Genomic DNA, 20,273 nt, shown 5'->3' on the forward strand with positions numbered 1-20,273 from the left:
AATGTTTATATTATTGCCTTTCTAGAAACTTAAGTTTATACATATTAATTTGTGTAACTAAAACATTTAAATATTTAGATAGTGGATGGAATGTAAAAACAACGTAAACAATTGTTTTAAAACCTCTATTAGTCTGCTTTTAGTGTGTCATAACTTGCATTGCCTTGTCACTTATGTGAAACACTTACTCTGTAGATGCTGATCTACTGCTTTAGAATATCAAATTGTGACAGTTACTTTATTTCATTGGATATAAATTGTCATTGATTAAAAGATATTATGATTTTATTAAGGAAAGGAAAAGACAAAAACAAACTGTGGCAATACTTTTGTATCACTTATAATTTTTATTTTATATATATTGACTTATTTTATATTTACTATACTTTTATTTCATACAAGGAAGGAAAAGACAAAACAAAAAAAAACTGTGACAATACTTTTATATCACTTGTAATTTTTATTTTATGTCTATTGACTTATTTTATATTTACTATACTCTTATACTTCTCAATATTTCACCCATAGGCATAGTTTTAAAAATCATCATAATTTGTGTGCATACATGAAAATGGAAATATAAGTGGATAATGTTTAAGGTACTCCTATTTTTAATATTCAGTCTTACTTTTTCATATTGCTTTTTGCCTTTCTGTGCTTTTTCATCAGTGCTGTGAGGAGTTATTTGATGCTGTCTTTCATAAAAGATACGTTAAAAGATTACCAAGACTACCCTCAGATTCAGTAATTCTCTGGGGCCTTACAGGACTCAGAAGAGTCATACTCAAGGCTATGATTTATGACATATAAAGGATACCAAGCACAATCAGCAGTGGGGCCTGAGGCGAAGTCTTGGAAAAACCAGGAACAGGATTCCACAGTCCTTTTTCAGAGTCTCACAAGATGGATTCAGTTCCCTCAGGAACAAGTTGTGACATTTATGAAATGTTACCAGCCACAGAAGCTCATTAGAGACTAGTGACCCAGTGCACAGGGTTTTCATTTGGGGCTGATCATGAGAGTACTCCCTGCCTAGTGTATACCCAAATTCCAGACTCCTAGAAGGAAAGTAGTTATTCAGCATAAACCATATTTGCACAAAGAGTGAACTATCATCAGTTAATGGTAGAACCCCTCCCCAAATCTAAGTTCACCAATGCCAGTTAAGGGCTAATTTTGCAGGAAGTCTTTTTTTTCAAGGATAGCAGTTATGATTGCTATGTTAACTCATTAGTACACAAAAGATAATAGTCACTGAGATTTTTCTTACAAGGCTCTAAGAGCCATTCTGTAAGTTTTCATTCTGGTGCTATTCTCATCATACCAGAAGAAATTAGTGGAACATAGGGTTCTCATTAACTTAAAAGTCATAGGTCATAGTGTTGCATACTGTCAGTCATGCCACTAGGAATAATAACCAAGTTTGCGTATACACAGACCACCTATATCTATTTTAGAGACTTGAGGGAAAAATCTTCATCTTGGAGTCACTGAAAAAAAGGAACCTAAATTTGCTTTTCAGAAAAGGTTCCATGTTATATTGAGTTTTATATTCAAGAACTTAAAGAGATTCAAAGGCTAATGAATATTTGCTGTTGAGATACTTAATGGAAATTATGGTGGAAGAAAAGAGTGTGGTTGGATTATAGTATTATAGTGTGCATTTCTGGGGTCTACCTTTGATCAGCTTCTGTTCAGAAGGCAGAAGAAAGAACAAATTGCTAAATAGTGCAGAAAAAGACTCCAGACATCTAATCTGGTTATATTCAGCCTCCTTCCTGTTCCCCTGCCCCTTACTTTTTTCAACAGCTTTACATATTAATATGGTTTGGTGGTGTCCTCACCCAAATCTCATCTTGAATTCCCATGTGTTGTGGGAGGGACCCTATGGGAGGTAATTGAATCATGGGGGCAGGTCTTTCCTGTGATCTCCTTGTGATAGTAAGTCTCATGAGATCTGATGGTTTTACAAAGGGGAGTTTCCTTGCACAAGCCCTCTATGCCTGTAGCCATCCATGTAAGATGTGACTTGCTCCTTGTTGCCTTCCACTGTGATTGTGAGGCTTCCCCAGTCAGCTGGAACTGTGAGTTCTTCATTAATCCTCTTCCCTTTGTAAATTGCTCAGTCTCGGGTATGTCTTTATCAGCACCATGAAAATGGGCTAAAATAGTAAATTGGTGTCAGTGGAGTGGGGCATTACTGAAAAGATGCCTGAACATGTGGAAGTGACTTTGGAACTGGGTAACAGGCAGAGGTTGGAACAGTTTGGAGGGCTCAGAAGAAGACAGAAAAATGTGGGAAAGTTTGAAACTTCCTAGAGACTTGTTGAATGGCTTTGCCCAAAATGCTGATAATATGGACAGTAAAATCCAGGCTGAGGTGGTCTCAGATGGCGATGAGGAACCTGTTGGAAACTGGAGCAAAGGTGACTCTTGTCATGTTTCTGCAAAGAGTCTGGTGGCATTTTGCCCCTACCCTAGAGATATGTAGAACTTTGAAGCTGAGAGAGTTGATTTAGAGTATCTGGTGGGAGAAATTTCTAAGCAGCAAAGCATTCAAGAGGTGACTTGGGTGCTATTAAAGGCATTCAGTTTTAAAAGGAAAATAGACCATGCAAGTTTGGAAAATTTGCAGCTTGACAATGTGATAGAAAAGAAAATCCCATTTTCTGAGGAGAAATTCAAGCTGGCTGCAGACATTTGCATAAGTAATGAGGAGCCAAATGTTAATCATCAAGACAATGGGGAAAACGTCTCCATGCCATGTCAGAGACCTCTGCAGCAGCCCCTCCCTCCCATCACAGGCCTGGAGGTTTAGGAGGAAAAATGGTTTCTTGGGCTGGGCCCAGGGTCCCTCTGCTGTATGCAGTCTAGGACTTAGTATACTGCGTCCCAGCCGCTCCAGCCGTGACTGAAAGTGGCCAAGGTACAGCTCGGGCTGTTGCTTCAGAAGGTGGAAGCCCCAAGCCTTGGCAGCTTCCACGTGTTGTTGAGCCTGCGGGTGCACAGAGGTCAAGAATTTGGGTTTAGGAACCTCCACCTAGATTTCAGAAGATGTATGGAAAGGCCTGGATGCCCAGGCAAATGTTTGTTGCAGGGTTGGGGCCCTCATGGAGAATCTCTGTTAAGGCAGTGCAGAAGGGAAATGTGGGGTGGGATCTACCCCACAGAGTCCCCACTGGGATACCACCTAGTGGAGCTGTGAGAAGAGGGCCACTGTCCTCCAGACCCCAGAATTGTAGATCCACTGACAGCTTGCACTGTTCACCTGGAAAAGCTGCAGACACTCAATGCCAGCCCGTGAAAGCCGGGAGGGAGGCTGTACCCTGCAAAGCCACAGGGGCAGAGCTTCCCAAGACCATGGGAACCCATCTGTTGTATCAGCGTGACCTGGATGTGAGACATGTAGTCAAAGGAGATCAAAGGAGATCATTTTGGAGCTTTAAGTTTTGCCTGCCCCACTGGACTTCAGCCCCTTTGTTTTGGCCAGTGTCTTTCATTTGGAATGGCTGTATTTATCCAATACCTGTACCCCCATTGTATCTAGGAAGTAACTAACTTGCTTTTGACTTTACAGGCTCATAGGCAGAAGGGACTTGCCTTGTCTCGAATGAGACTTTGAACTGTGGACTTTTGAGTTAATGCTGAAATGAGTTAAGGCTTTGGGGGACTCTTGGGAAGGCATGATTGTTTTTGAAATGTGAGGACATGAGATTTGGGAGGGGCCAGAGATGGAATGATATGGTTTGGCTGTGTCCCCACCCAAATCTCATCTTCAATTCCCACATGTTGTGGGAGGGACCTGGTGGGAGGTAATTGAATCATGGGGGCAGATCTTTCCTGTGCTGTTCTTGTGTTAGTGAATAAGTCTCACAAGATCTGATGGTTTTAAAAAGAGGAGATTCCTTGCACAAGCTCTCTATGCCTGCTACCATCCATGTAAGATGTGACTTTTCTCCTTGCCTTCCTCCCTGATTGTGAGGCTTCTCCAGCCCTGTGGAACTGTGAGTTCTCCATTAAACCTCTTCCCTCCATTAAACCTCTTCCCTTTGTAAATTGTCCACTCTCGGGTGTATCTTTATCAGCAGCATGAAAATGGACGAATACACATATATAAAAATTTTACATGTATAAAAATGAAGCTGCTCTGACAGAAGCTGTTAGCCTTGTGCTTTGAAATTCTCTTGTGTAGTACTTTTCCCCACCTCTTCCTTGAGTTACATTACTAGAATTGAACATGGAGATCAATTTGAAAACCACTTTCTAGTCTAGATTCTTCCTTTTCTAGATGAGGAAGCTGAAACCTATTGAGTTTATAATTATCCTTTTCTTTGGTTTTAATCTGTAAAGTTATCTGGATTTAGAACAGAGAAGAAAAAAATACATCTAAACTAACACTGATTCTAGGACCTTTGAGCAGTGTGCAAGTCTGAACGTCTTCCCTGTTTTTGTTCATGTTATCACTACTGTTGTTCTGGGTATCATGCCAAATTTAGTGCAATACTCTCTTATATTAGTTTCCTAGGGCTTCTATAACACATTATCATAAACTAGTGACTTAAATATATTCTCACACAGTTCTGGAGCGCAGAAGTCTGTAATTTGTGCTGTGCATCCTATTTCAAAATCAAGCCGTGTTCCCTCCAGTGGCTCTAAGGGAGATTTTGTTCCATGCTTCTTTCAGCTTTGGTGGCTACAGGCATTCCTTGTCTTGTGGCTGCATAACTCCAGTTTTTTCCTGTGTCTTTACATGGCCTTCTCATCTCTCTGACCTCACTCTGTGTATTTTCTGTAAGGACACTTGTCATTGGATTTGGGATCTACCTGGATAATCCAGTGTCATCTCATCCTGAGACCTTTAACTTAATTACATCTTCAGAGACTCATTTTTCCAAATAAGATAACAGGTTCATTTCACCTAATTACTCTTTCTGCATCTGTGCTCTCTTTTTTCCAGTACAATATGTGAACTGTTAGACCAGTTTTCCTATTTACTCTTGTTAATTTTTTGACTTCCTGTATTTTCAACCTGCAATATTCTGTTTCTCCTCCTGACTACACTTTAAGTTTCCCAAGGTAAGGAGCATGCTTCATCTCCTTTGTCCTTCCTCAGCATAAATGCCTGGCCCATACAGGTAGGTTGTTAAATAAACGTTAGTTTAAAAAAAAAAAAAAAAGATGAGCAAACAAACTTAATTAAGAACTTGCCTTTCTGGCCTTATCTCCTGTCATTTTGTTACCAATACTTGGGTTTTTCTGAGTTTTATAAACTTTCCTTGTGTTTTCTGTTGCTGTGAGCCTGTTTGCTTTTGTTTTTCCTTTAGTGCCTTTACCCTGCCTGGAAAATCCCACCTCACCTAACATCCATCATAAATGCTACTGATCTCCTACAGCTTACAGACAAAATTAGTCACTAGTTTAGTTGTAGCTGAAAGAAAATGTTACTTTCTAGATGTAGCTTTTCTTACTCTACACACTTCTCTCATTGGTTTTCCTAAGTATCTTTTTAAGTTTGTACTCTTACCTAGGAGGCTCTCATAAGGATAATATGTCCCTGTTTGCCTTGGAATATCTAGGTTTACAAGTATTGTGGTAAAATTATTAATAATGTTTCTCTAAACAAAATTTTCGCTTGGTTAACAAATTACGTGGTCACTGTAGCCATAACGTTCATTGCCTTGTATGTCTTATTTTCTTTTCTAGATTATCAGTTCTTGGAATTTGTAGCTATACAATCTTCTGTGTTGTAGAACATAGTATTAATACTTTATATTCCATGAGTGAAAATCAATAAATATTTGAACACTTAATATGTGCTATGCATCCTATATTTTGCCTGTATTAGCACCCTTTTTTTCTTAACCTTCAGTTGTCTTAGAGTATCTACGTGTCTCAAACAAAAATTTGCAGTCACACCAGCCTCGCAAAGTCTAACTATGGATCAGTCTGGCTCTATACATTCTCTGTGCTTACCTCTTAGCTGCTAGTGATGCTGGGGTTAGGGGAGTGGGGAAGAAATCATATAGCCTTGTACATTAGTGCCACTACAGAATCAGGCTTTAGTTTTAACTGGACCTCAAACAATTTTAGTGCTTCTTCCTTTGGTGCTTAGTTAGTACCTATTTCCATGTTTGAGTGCTTCCTTTTAAATTTTATTGAGACCTTGTTAATTAGGTGATAATAGTCTTGTTTTATAGGTGATAAAACAGCTCAAGGACCCAGAGTCACACTGTTCTTGAATCTAGGTTAGTCCAACTCCAAAGTTCTTGCTTTTTTTTATTCCATTTTGTTACTCGTCTACAGTTTTAAGTCTCATTCTTAGACCTTAGAAGTACGTGTGTTACTGAATCATAAGCCCTATGTAATTGTTTAGAGGTGCTTCCTTTGAAACAGCAAGTTTGAGATTTTTGGATTATTAATGAATGTTGACATGTGGGTATACAAATTTTTACCTGGACCGTTATAGAAGGCTATATGAGAATTGGTAGATTTTTGTCTTTAAAGCGCCAGTTCCTTACATTGTCAACTTCTAAGAAGATATTTACAAGTTCACAAAATTTGAAATGCTCCAAAATTTGAAACTTTCCATAGCTGACAACTTTGTTCTCTGATGGTTCAGTGCACACAAACTTGCTTTCATGCACAAAATTTTAAAAAATACTGTGTAAAATTACTTTCAAGCTATATGTATAAGGTGTGTATGAAACATAAATGAATTTTGTGTTTAGGCTTTAGTCCTATTCCCAAGATATCTCATCATGTATATGCAAATATTTCAAAATAAGAAAAAAACAGCCAAAATTTGAAACACATCTTGTCCTAAGCATTTCAAATAAGGGCTACTCAACCTGTAATATAATTTTTGTGATATTTTTGGGAATACATTTTATTAGGATTAAAACTCATTTAAATATTTAAATAGTAATTTAAACTAACTTTAAGACTTTTTTAAAAACTAATTTTGAAATTATTTTAAAAATAATTCATTAGTATTTTAAAATTGCAACAGTTTCACAGGTTGAAGTGGGAATGGAAAGAGTAGAATCTGAATAATTGTTATGAAAACTCTGTCTCTGCATTTTGCTTGCATAGTGCTTAGTTTAAGAACTGCAATACCTCTCTAACTTTGTAATTTGAAAATCATTGAGATTTTGAACGTCCTGACTAGTAGCTCTTATAGATTTTCTTTCTATAAAACATTCAATTTTACTCATTTTGTGCTCAACATGAGGGAGTTGGGAAGATAACTGTTGAAAGCCAGGAGGCTGCTTCTTATCTGTGTTTTGCCATTAACTAGTCATGTAATAACAGCAGATCACTACCTCTATAAAATGAGGTTATATCAGATACCCCCTAAGGTCTCTTCCTGTTCTAAAGTTTTGTGCTTCTCTTCTGAAAATATGAAGAAATTGTGCTTTCACCCACACAGTAAATTCAACTAAAGAGAACCCTTACTTAATATTGGTTGGTTAAATCAAGATACTGTCCTTATTTGAAATTAAAACATAGCAATTGTTTGAGAATAGATGATGAAAACCCCATTTTAGAAAGAACATTTTATAAAAGCCTGAAATTGCTACTTAAAGATTATTAAAAATATCATGATACAGTAGGATTAACTTTATAGTTAGTGTTAATGTGTAGAAAATATTTTTGTAGAAATTTGCTATTTTCTATGCCTGTTATTCACTATATTGGTTACGTGTAAGTTATTATAGAAACGTAAACTTTTAAAAATTATTTGAAGCTGAATTTTTTAGCTTCATAGAAACCTGTAAACCTTTATTTAGAAAGGAAGTTGACTTTTATTGAACTTCTATTCTAGAATTGTGTTATCTAGAACTTTCTGCAGTGATGCAAATATAATGTAGCTATACTGTTCAGTATGATTGTCACTAGCTAATTGTGGAAATTGAGTACTTGAAATATGGCTTGTAACTGAAAACCTAATTTAATTTAAATTTAAATAGCCACATGTGGCTAGTGACTGAGACAGTACTGTTTTAGAAAATGCTAAGCAATGTGCCAGAGAATAATTACAAGACTTTAGTTCTAGTTCTTTGTGCCATTTCAGATTACTGTCCTTTCCCATTTTGTATTCAGCCTTCGTTTCCAGCCTTATTTGTACTTATGTATTTTGGCTTCATACTGAATCTTTGCTTAGCATGGAATGGTCTTCTCAGCTTATGAAAAGATGAGCCTTCAAGGTATAGCTTAAATGTCACATCTAGCAGAGTCTTCCTTGATCCTCTGGACTATGGCAAATGATACTGTCCCTTATAATTTATATGGCCCAGGGTAAGTCTTGACCTTTTTCATTCTTGGTCCATCATATGGAAAATAAATTACCTGCACCTAACAGGGTGATTTTTTAGGAGCAAGGGTTGGGATGTGGAGATCAATAGAAATGGTGTATATAAAAGCTTTTTGGCAGTTTTCAAGAATGTACAATTTTAAGGTGATGAAACATTTTATAAACGTTAAGACTGAATCCCAGAGAAATTAACTTTCCCACTATCCACCCATCATCTCCCATTTTCCACCTCACCCCACTTAGTACCTCAGTTGCAATAGTTCTTTAGCTATATTGGTTTCTATAATCCTTTCATCCTACTTCCTCCTCCCCCACTTCTTGACCAACTTAAAATTCATAATCCATCAAAACCACATCAACTCCCTTGCCTGTTTCTCTTTTAAATTGTGCATGCCTGGTAAAATGTCCAACCCAGGTTAAATCTTGTTCTGTGCCTTCTTCACGCCTCCACTCAGGCAGCTGAAAGCTGGTTGATGCTGCTGTAATTCAAGATCAGTAACTTTAAGCATGGCTTGTCTTTTTATTCTCTTTATAGTGTGTTTTTCAGAGCAGAAATTTTTAATTTAAATGAAGCCTAGCTTATCAAGAGTTTCTTTTATGGATCATGCCTTTGGTGTTTCATCTAAAACATTATTGTCGTATCTAAGGTCATCTAGATTTTTTTTGCTGTGTTGTCTTCTAGGGTTTTTGTAGTTTTGCATTTTATACTTAGGTTGATTATCTATTTCAAGTTAATTTTTGTGAAAGATATAAAATCTGTGTCTAGAATTATTTATTTGTATGTGGATGTCTGGTTGTTCCAGCATCATTTGTTGAAAAGATCTTTTCTTTATTACATTGCCTTTGCTCTTTTGTTAAAGATCAAAGTTAACGTATAGTTAAAGACTATATGAGTCTGTTTTTGGGCTCTATTCTGTTCCACTGACCTGTCTATTCTTTAGCCAATACCACGTGGTCTTGATCACAGTAACTTTATGTTAAGTCTTGAAGTCAGATAATGTAAGTCCTCTGACTTTGTTCTTCTTCAACATTGTGTTGACTCTTCTGGGTCTTTTGTTTCTCCGTATACATTTGAGAATCAGTTTGTTGCTAGCCACAAAATAACTTGCTGAGATTTTGATTGGAATGTTGTTGAATCTATAGATCTAGCATCTTGACAATATTGAGTCTTCCTATTCAAGAACATGAAATATCTCCCCATTTACTTAGTTATTTGATTTTCTCAGAATTGTATAGTTTTCTGCATATAGATCTTGTACATATTTTGTTAGATTTATACCTAAGCATTTTATTGTTGTGGGTGCTATGTAAATTTGTGTTTTTAACTTCAAATTCCACTTGATCATTACTGATACGTAAGAAAGTGATTGACTTTTTTTTTTTTTTAAATTAACTTTGTATTCTGTAACCTTGCTGTAATTGATTATTAGCTCCAGGAGTTTTTTCATCACCCACAATGACTAAATTTTTGATTAGAAAGGAAGTTTTATTTCTTAATAAATAAAGAAATAAAGAAAGGAAGAAATAAAACTTCCTTTCTAATCAGTATACATTTATTGCCTTTTCTGGTCTTATTACTTTAGTAAGGACTTCTGGTATGCTGTTGAAAAAGGAGTAGTGAGAGGGGAAATCCTTGCCTATTTCTGATCTTAACTGGAAAGATTCTAGTTTCTTGACATTAAGTATGATGTTGGCTGTGGGTGTTTTGTTTTGTAGATGTTCTTTATCAAGCTGGGGAAGTTGCAGCTATTGCTAGTTGGATGCCCCTTTGTATTGCTGACTAATATTTCATTGTATGGGTTTACCACAATTTGTATATTCATTCGTCTCTTGATGGACATTTGGATTGTTTCTACTTCTTGGGTGTACAAATAAAGCCACTATGAACATGGGTATGCAAGTGTACAAGTCTTTGTGTGGACACATGCCTTCTTTTCTGATGAGCAAAGACACAGGAATGATATGGCTGGATCATATGGTATGTTTAACTTTAAGAGACTGCTAAGTGTATTCCAGTGTGGTTTTACCATTTTACAGTTTAACCAGCAATGTAGGAGAGTTCTAATTCATCCATATTTTCTTCAAAACTTGTTATTGTCAGCCCATTTGATTTTGTCCACTCTTATGGCTATGTAGCAGTACCTTATTTTAGTTTTAGTTTACATTTCCTTAAAATGTTGATCATCTTTTCATGTGCTTGTTAATGTATCTTTGGTGATGTCTGTTCAGATCTTTTTTTTTTTTTTTTTTTTTTTGAGGGAGAGGATCTTGATCTGTCTACAAGGCTGGAGTGCAGTGGCATGACTGGAGTTTACTGCAGCCTTGACCTTCTAGGCTCAAGCGATTCTTCCATCTCAGACTCCTGAATAGCTGGGACTACAGGCGTACACCAACACGTCTGGCTAATTTTTTATTTTTCGTAGAGATGGGTTCTCACTATGTTGGCCAGGGTGGTCTCAAACTCCTGAGCTCAAACGGTCCTCCTGCTATAGCTTCCCAAAGTTGCTAGGATTACAGTCATGAGCCACTGCACCCGACCTCTTTTGCTCATGTTTTATTGGTTTGTCTTTTTATTGTGGAGTTTTGGGAGTTCTTTATGTGTTTTGGTTCTTATCAGATATAAATCCTTTACCAGATGCATGTTTTACAAGGATTTTCTCCTCATTAGTGGTTTTAAGTGTCGAAGAGCAGAATTTTTTTTATTTTGATGAAGACAACTCATTGTGCTTTTAATGACATATGTAAGAAATACCTGCCTAACTTAAGGTCACAAATATTTGCATTTCTAGATAAATTTTAGAACAACTTGTCAGTTTCGAATAAAGATGGGAATTTGATTGTGTTAAATCTGTAGATCAATTTAGAGAGAATTAATGTGTTAATAATGTTGTGTCTTCTGATCCATGAATAAAGTATGTCTCTCCATTTCTTTAGATAATTCTTTAATTTCTCTCAGCAAATTTTACAGTTCTAACTGTACAGTTTTTTCACACCTTTGGTCAGATTTATCTGTATTTCATCTTTTTTTCTTTTTTGTTTTCTTTTCTTTTTTTTCTTTTTTCTTTTTTCTTTTTTTTTTGAGACAGGGTCTTGCTCTGTCACCCAGGCTGGAGTGCAGTGGCACGATCTTGGCTCATTGCAACCTCTGCCTCTCAGACTCAAGCGATACTCCCACCTCAGCCTCCTGAATAGCTGGGGTGAGCCACCATGCCTGGCTAACTTACTATTTTTTGTAGAGATGGGGTTTGGCCATATTGCCCAGGCTGGTCTTAAATTCCTGACCTCAAGCAATTTACCTGCCTCGGCCTCCCAAAGTGTTTAAATTACAGATGTGAGCCACTGCACCCAGCCCTTATTTTCTACTTTTGATGCTATTCTACGTAGCAATGTTTTACATTTTTTATTTTCTAATTTTCTGCTGCTAATGCATAGAAATACAATCGATATGTATATATTGGTCTTAGGTCCTGCATAAGGTCTGCTACTAAACACCCTTTTCATAGTAGCTTTATTGTAGATTCCATCATATTTTCTCTAAAGACAATTGTGTTTTCTGTGAATAAAGACATTTCATTTGTTCCTTTCTGATTTGGAATTTATTTCTTTTTCTTGCTTGATTGTACTGGCTAGAACCTTCAGTACAATTTTGGATATAACTCAAAGACTGCCTAGCTCTATTTAGTTTCTCTGTCCTTGTGCTTCACTTCGTCTACTGCCTCTGAGGGATCAGAACTTTGTTGCCTGTTGACTGTTAACTTGAAATGGTTGTTTCAGGCAAAAGGATAAATCTTATTACTCCTTCATGTCTGTAAGGTGTCGTCTCTATTCTGTTTCAAATCAAGCTTTTATTCTCACCACTCCACCAAAACAGTTGCTAAATTCAGTGGTTACTTACCAGTGCTTTTTTTTTTTTTTTTTTCCCACTTCTTGGCAGCATTTGGAATAATTGACCCCTCTGTAGGTACTTTCTTCACTTAATGTATAGGATACCCTCTTGGTTCCCTTCTTGCTTCCCTGGCCAGCTTTATTGATGCTACTGAATTTAAATGTTAGAATGCACTATGGATCCTTGACATTTACACCTCTGTTCTCTATATTTTTAGTTCCTTGCTAATTGTCTGTTTCCTCATTAAAATGCAAACTGTCTAATGGCTCAGCACCTAGAGCAGTGCCTGGCACAAATTGTTCACCCAACGCATTCTGATGAATGAATGAAGAAATGGTTGGTTTTCTCAACCAGTTTTTGGCATGTGACCCAGGTTTCTCCTTAGAATATAGAAACCTTTAATTCCAGAATTATCATTTCTAATTATGACATGAGATGAAGTTAGAGATTCTTTGATAATATTTGTTTGCAGTTTATAGTGTTATTTATTTGCAGTTTATATGTTATTTAATTCACCTGGCTTTATTCTTACATGGTTATTTCTGTTTGAGTATTGTTTGGAGATTTTATTGAAAAACCTTTTTGTTATATTTTCAGAGTTGACATGACTTACCTATCAGTTTAAAACAAATCAGGTTAATTACTGAATGTGCTGGTGATAAATTTGATTCTTCCAAAATGTGTTTTGTTGAAGTATGATGAAATTTTTGAGGACAACTATATGCTATTACCTTGCTAGTTTGTTAATGTATATTTTATTAGTTGCCTCTAAATTATTCTAAATTTTGAGGAGTCTGAAAGGATTCATATCTTAGAGATTTTCAAAGGTGGTGTTTAGTTGAACACAGACTAAAATAAATGTTTCTTTTATAGCATATTTGCATACCCATTGTGTAGATCTTAACATTTGAAAGATCCTGGGAACTGAAATGTCCAATATGCATGCCATTACTGTAGGCTGAGAAGTGAAATGTGGTAAAAGATAGTATCAGAGTTTTAAAAAGTGTAGTGTCAAAAGTTTGTGATGGTTTCTGTTTCTTCTTGGTTCATTTCTGAGAGTCAGGGAGGAAAGAAAGGGAATGGTTGCAATTTTATTCATATTTTAATTTCAAACACTTTTAGTGTGTGTGATCTGTAATATGGATCTCCCTTCATTTTTTTTTAAAAAACCCATAGTAGTTATATACGTCATTACATTTTCTTTTCTGTCACAAGCATCTTCTTGAATGTGTGTATTTCCAAATGTTTTGTATCTCCCAGGCACTCTGTAAATATTGACTGAATGACTATTCAAAGACACATGAAGACTCCAAAGAGTTGTGTTTTCATGGTTGTAGTGTTTTTGTGGAGCTACAGATAGGGGAATAAATGCTGTCTCTTTCTCTGAAAGAATAATAAATTCAATTTAATTAATTAGCTAATGATACAAAACTAAACTTTTAAATCAGGAAGACAGAGTAGAAACAGAGTAGTATCCTGTTTTATTATGGTTTTCCTACGTGTCTAGAGTGTGCAGTAGCCAGGACCACCTTATGACAAGGTTAGAGTCTTGCTAGATGTGGAAGATTCAATTATTTGCTATTCCTTTGCCTCTTTATATTCTAGACTTACATTACCAATAGTGATGAACTTAAACTTTAAATAATTTAGCTCTTTAATAATAAACGTTTACATTTCTTCAGGACCTTTCTGCTCTCCAGTTAAACTCAGCTTCATGTGGGAAAGTAGAGGGAGGAAGTAGTAGTAGGCTTAAAGATTGGTAGTCTCTGAGTAGTGAGGCATTCTAATTTGGAGTTTGGTTTAAGAACTACAACAGAAAATCTGTTTCTGCACAGTTTTAAGATTCCATGGGGGAAAATCTTATTCAGAAGTGGTTTTTAACATTTGGATTTCGTCCAGGAATGGAAATGTATTAGATTCTTTTATTTGCAACAACAGAACTCTGGCTAATTAAAACATAAAAAAGCAGATATGTAATTAGAGGCTTATGGAATCTAAGGGAGGGCCAAATTTATTAATACTAGAAGAGTAGTACAACGCTTTGGTGAAAGGTTTAAGGGTTGAATCAAACAAAAAACACAGCAAAACTTACTTTTGTAACAAGCAGTAAAACTCAGAATACAGAAAAATTAGAAAGTAAAAATCACTTATTAGTTCCTAGAAATTAAAATAAAAGATGAAAAATAAATCTTGATAGTTACATTAGTATTTGTTTACTAGTAAAGCCAAACACCTTAAAATATAGCCACTTCTAAATTTTTTTTTTTTTTTTGTAAATATCAACTTTGTTCATTAGGGGTAACTCCTTCTGGTTAAGTCTCTCAGCCTTTTTTATTGGGTGATTTTTCTGTCTCTGCTGTCATGCTGAGAGAGAGGCTTTCCTAACCTAAATGTTGTAGAATTTTTAAAATACAATTTTGAACCAATGGGTCAGTTCCCTCCACCCCACAACAGTATCTCCCAATACTCCTTTTGGTAATGGTGGCCCACTAGGCTGTGGTTTTTCTGGATTGTAAGGAGATATAATTAGGTTATTCCAATACTACCTGTCTTAGTCAACTTGGGGTGTGTATTATAGTCCATTTGTGTTGCTATAAAGGAATACCTGATACTTGGTAATTTTAAAGGAAACAGGCTTATTTTGGCTCACCATTCTTCAGGCTGCACAGGAAACATGGTGCTGGCATCTGTTTCTGGTGAGGGCCTCAGGAAGCTTAGAATCATGGGAGAAAGTGAAGGGGAGCCAACATGTTACATAAAGCAAAAGAAAGCGGGGAAGTGCGAGCCTCTTTTAAACAGCCAGATCTCCTCTCCTGTGAACTCAGAGTGGAAACTCACTCATTACCACAGGGACAGCACCAAGCTATTAATGAGGGCTCCACTCCCATGACCCAAATACCTCTCATTAGGTCCACCTCCAATATGGGAGGTCACATTTCAACATGAAATTTGTAGGGGACAAAACATCCAAACCATTGCAGGCTGCTATAACAAAATACTGTAAACTGGGCAGCTTAAACAGCAGACATTTATTTCTCACATTTGGGGAGGTTGGGAAGTCCAAGATCCATGTGCCAGCAGATCCAGTTCTTGATGAGGATCTTCTTCCTGGATTGTAGACAATCACTTTCTCACTGTTTCCTCACATGGCCTAGAAAAAGTGAGGGAGTGAGCTCTCCTTTCTTTGTTTTAAGGACACCAGTCCAATCATGGGGAGCCCACCTGTATGACTTTATTTAAACCTAATTATCATGCAGAGGCCTACCAGATACTACCTTTGAGGTCAGAGCTTCAGAATGAATTTTAGGGAGGACACAAACATTCACTCCATAAAACTTCTCTTACTCCCTTTGTTGTTGTTGTGGTTTTACCTCCATTTGAAGGGGATAAAATAAAAACTAGAAATTCTTTCTTTGGTCCTCAGTAATGTTAAATTTGCCTTTCTAGGGTAATTAGTGTTATTTGACAAAATATACAGAAAGTTTTGTCTATATACATATGTACAGGCAATAATTTTTTACTTTTAGGTCTTCAGTCCATCTAGGGTTTTTTTTTCTTTTTCTTTCAGTGTTTAGTATAAAAGAGGGATCTGTATTTTTCCAAGTATTTTGCTCATGCTCTTTCAGCATTTCTTGACTAATATATTATTTTCCCACTCAAAATCTTAGTTTTGTTGTATAGCACATCCTATTATATATAGGTCTGTTTGTGTACTTTCAATTATTTTATGTTCCTAATACCAAACTTTTATTATTTTTACTTTAATATTTTCCCTCTTCAGTAGTCTGTTAGTGTTTTGAAATATTTTTGGCAGTTATTTCTACCCTGTTTTTAAAAAAATTTTATCAGGGTTTTCACTATAATTGCATTGCATTTGTGTATTAATATGGGGAGAATTGACATGTAAATAAGTTTTCCTACCTAGGAATATGGCATAGCTTCTATTTTTTCAAGTCAGGTTTATAAGTTTTTTACAGTTTTATTCATGAGTGTTTTAAATATTAATGTTTACAAATTAAACCCTTTTCTGCAATAAATCTGTAAAGATATCACCCTTTGTAACATACTGATTATATAGTTCATATACATTTTGCATATGTTTATAAGCAACTACATTATTGGTTCTAATAGCCCTTCATTTCATCTTCTTGGATTTTGCAGGTAATAGATTTTTCAAATAATAATTATTTCTTTTCCTTCCTAATATTTATCCTTTCCTTTTTCATATTACACTGGATTGAATTTCCAGTCTCAGTTGAACAATGATAGTGCACCATCTTGTCTTGGTCTTTTTTTAATACCCATGCCTCTTTCTGTTTAGTGTTGATAATGGCCACTGATTTGAGAAGAATCTACTTTATTAAGAATCCTTTTCTTAGTTAGATTTTCTTTTTAAATCAGATAGTAAATGGTAAGTTTTATTAAATACCTTTTTAACATCGAATAAGAAAGTCATGTGAGCTTTTAATGTGATGAGCAGTCTAAAAATATCCTTTTGTTCTTAGAATAGTCCTACTTGGCTGTGTAGTTTTCTTAAATACAGAGCTATTATTTCATAATAAATGAAATTTTTTGTTGATATTCATGAGACTACTTTTTTATTTGTTTATAAAGTACCAAGCTTGTGATAGGTTGCTAAAATACATTAGAATACTTTCACATTTCATATATCTTGGAGTAATTTTAAAAGCTTAGTAATTATCTGTACTCTAGGATTATAGAACATGAGAGTAAATTTTCAGGGCCTGATACTTTTTTGAAGCAATGGTTAAAAAACTGAAACTTAAATTCGTAGCTGTTAAGTGTAGTCAGTGTGAATTGTCAGTCCCTTATTGTGAGATCCTCAGTCATCTCTTAGGTGATAAAATTTGCCTTCTAATTTACTTTTTTGTTTTTGTTTATTCCTCTAAAAAAGATTCAGGGAAATAATATTGCATAAAGTTTTTTTTTACCATATTTGGATGTGTTTGAACATGTTTAAATGCATTTTTCTTGATTATGTGGTGATGCCCTTCTGCATTTCTGTATTCATTTAAAAATATTAATTAGATGTAACTTTTAAAGGTATTGTTTATACGATTTCCATTTTTGAGTGCTTATTTTGGTTTACTTCTTGGTTTGTGTATTTGTTCATTTATTTTGTTAGAGAACATATGTGAGTTGTAGACCTCCAAGGACTTGTTATACATATTCTGATATACTTGTCAATGAGCAGCATCGTGCTTGACTATAGTAGTCATGAATGTTAGCTTTATATCCCTCAAAACATTGTAAGTTTTGCTCTATTGCTTTTAGGAAGGAAAAACGTATTATATTGAAGAAGTTTGATGTCATTTTAACTTTTGCTTGTGAAATTTTTTTTCTTAACCCTGAAATGGAAAAACAAAATTATTTTACATTTATATAAGCATTTCTTCATTAACATTTTCTGACAATTGATCTGTCTTTAATGACTTTTCAGTAGAGATACTTGACATAGGGACCCTCCAAAAGAAGATACTTCAGTATTATATTTGGTTTGGGAGATCCTACATGCATAAGTTATCTATTGCCATGTAAAAAATTTACCCCAAAACATAATGGCTTTAAAACAATATCCATTTATTATCTCTCAGTTTCTGTGTGCCAGGAATCCAGGCATGATGTAACTGAATCTTCTACCTCAGTCTTTCTCACAAGGCTGCAGTCAAAGTGTCAGCCAGAGCTGGGAACTCATGTGAAGGCTTGATTGAGGAAGGATTGTACTTCCAAGTCAACTTGGTCCTAATCTAGTGCTTTTTTCACTGCAACACATATTGGCGTATTGTTAATTTATTTGACAGTCACATTTGGATCTCATATCAAGCCCAGAAAACACCTAGTTCATTTCTTTTTGTTACTCAGTTGTACGTTTTGTGTGTGGTGCGTGTGAGTGCATGTGTGTGTGTGTGCATGTGTGTGTGTGTGTGTGTGTGTGTGTGTGTGTGTAGCTAGAGATAGTTACACAGGGGGTCAGGAAGGGAGGAGAGTGTTGACCACTTTTTTCTATTTTAAAAATTGTAGTACTTTTTTTTCCTCCATAGGTGCCTTAGCTGGACCAATTATTGTGGAGCCACATGTCACAGCAGTATGGGGAAAGAATGTTTCATTAAAGTGTTTAATTGAAGTAAATGAAACCATAACACAGATTTCATGGGAGAAGATACATGGCAAAAGTTCACAGACTGTTGCAGTTCACCATCCCCAATATGGATTCTCTGTTCAAGGAGAATATCAGGGAAGAGTCTTGTTTAAAAATTACTCACTTAATGATGCAACAATTACTCTGCATAACATAGGATTCTCTGATTCTGGAAAATACATCTGCAAAGCTGTTACATTCCCGCTTGGAAATGCCCAGTCCTCTACAACTGTAACTGTGTTAGGTAGGTATGCTTGAATTATGTATTTTGGTGATAGTGGTGAAGATTATAATAAAAATATTTTTAAGAAATTAAAATGGTTGAAATTTGATTTAACTTTAGGTTTAAAGTAAAATAATTCAAATACGATTTTTCAAGATCCTTCTTAAAATTTATGATTCTAGGTTCCCTGTAAATAAAATCTTGTCTATATATACCTACTTATCTATGTAATGCTACATAGTTTTATCTAGTTTCTTTATGAAAGATAGTGATGAGTTTTAATTATATACTAAGTTCTGAGTTTCTGTGACATCTTTATTTTCATTACCTCCCCTCAAATTTTCAGCCTTTAATCAAATTACCATCTTAAATTTTTTCATTTTTAAAAAATTGAGTTTTGCATCTAGGAGCCATTGACACCTCATGTTTTACTATTTCATATCACATTTTATTCCTGCTATTTTAGATTTGCATAGCTATCTGAATATGGTGCTTTTGCTCATAATAGTGATATTCCACTATTTCCTATGATACCTGTTAAAGTTTATGGTAAAATGTTGAAAAAGCTCGTTAACTTTAAGCTACTTTCAGTGAAATGTAAACCAATTTGGAAATGCTGATAAGTACTTTTGAAATGATAGAAATGAAGATTGAGGAGCAATAGCAACTGGTGGCTGCTCACATGAAGATCTACTGCCTAGATTCTTACTCAAACAGCTACTGGCAGTGTGGGTAGCTGACAGCGTCCAGCTGTTAGGTCCTTTAAGATTACTTCAGTTTTCAGGGCTATTCTTTTTGTGAGTGACCTCAGGCCAGTGACTAAGTGAGGCAGTGGTAGCCAGGGGTAAGCTCTTCTTGGGGCCAGTGATTGAACAAGATAGTGGTGTGAAGAGTTTTACCCAAAGTGGACTCCTTTAATGGAATATGACCATTGGCCTGAATGGAGACTTTGTCAGGGTACTGATAGCTCCCCTTACTCAATTCATTCTTCCTTCTCCCTTTTCTCCCAGTTATCACTCCCTGGTAAACCTTTTATACTTCTCACATCACAGTGTCTGCTTCCTGGAGAACCAAACAAGTTAATAGCTCCTAATGTTTAAGGACATAATAGTAATGTCTCTGAAGTATAGGACAGCAATTTTGTCCAAATTTATTATATATTTTTTCATGTTGAGAGATATTCTTTTAATTAGATATTTGAGGCTTAGTATATTTAAGACACTGCCCTAAGAGCTATGGGGAAATATAACTTACATTTAAGAGATTGATGTTTTTGAGAAATTTTCTGATTAGAAGGCAAGGCATGAATATCTGAAAACTCACATGGAGGACATCAGTAAAAAAGGTAACACAAAGTACTGTATGGCTCACTCCTGTAATCCCAGCACTTTGGGAGGCTGAGGCAGATGGATCACTTGAGGCCAGGAGTACAAGACCAGCCTGGCCAGCATGGCAAAACCCCATCTCTACTAAAAATACAAAAATTAGCCAGGCATGGTAGTGCATGCCTGTAATCCCAGCTACTCGGGTGGCTGGGTCTTGAGAATCACCTGTACCTGGAGGCGGAAGTTGCAGTGAGCCGAGATTATACCACTGCACTCCAGCCTGGGCAACAGAATGAGACTGTGTCTCTAAATAAATAAATAAATAAATAAATAACAAGTACTTTGCATATGAAAGAGCAAGCTCA

The 20,273-nt window shown here is 35.7% G+C and overlaps 1 protein-coding gene across 10 annotated transcripts in view; it reads left to right on the forward strand.

Moving 5' to 3' along the window:
- The window catches only part of NECTIN3 (nectin cell adhesion molecule 3), a 122,355-nt gene that overhangs the window by 21,952 nt on the left and 80,130 nt on the right, over positions 1–20,273 (forward strand). For all 10 annotated transcript variants that reach the window (NM_001243288.2, XM_017006123.2, XM_017006126.2 and 7 more), the window contains one exon: positions 18,263–18,604. In NM_001243288.2, the coding sequence (NP_001230217.1) occupies positions 18,263–18,604 (342 nt within the window). The remainder of the gene's footprint in view (positions 1–18,262; positions 18,605–20,273) is intronic.

The sequence above is a fragment of the Homo sapiens genome, chromosome 3, assembly GCF_000001405.40.
Source record: "Homo sapiens chromosome 3, GRCh38.p14 Primary Assembly".
Lineage (NCBI taxonomy): Eukaryota > Metazoa > Chordata > Mammalia > Primates > Hominidae > Homo > Homo sapiens.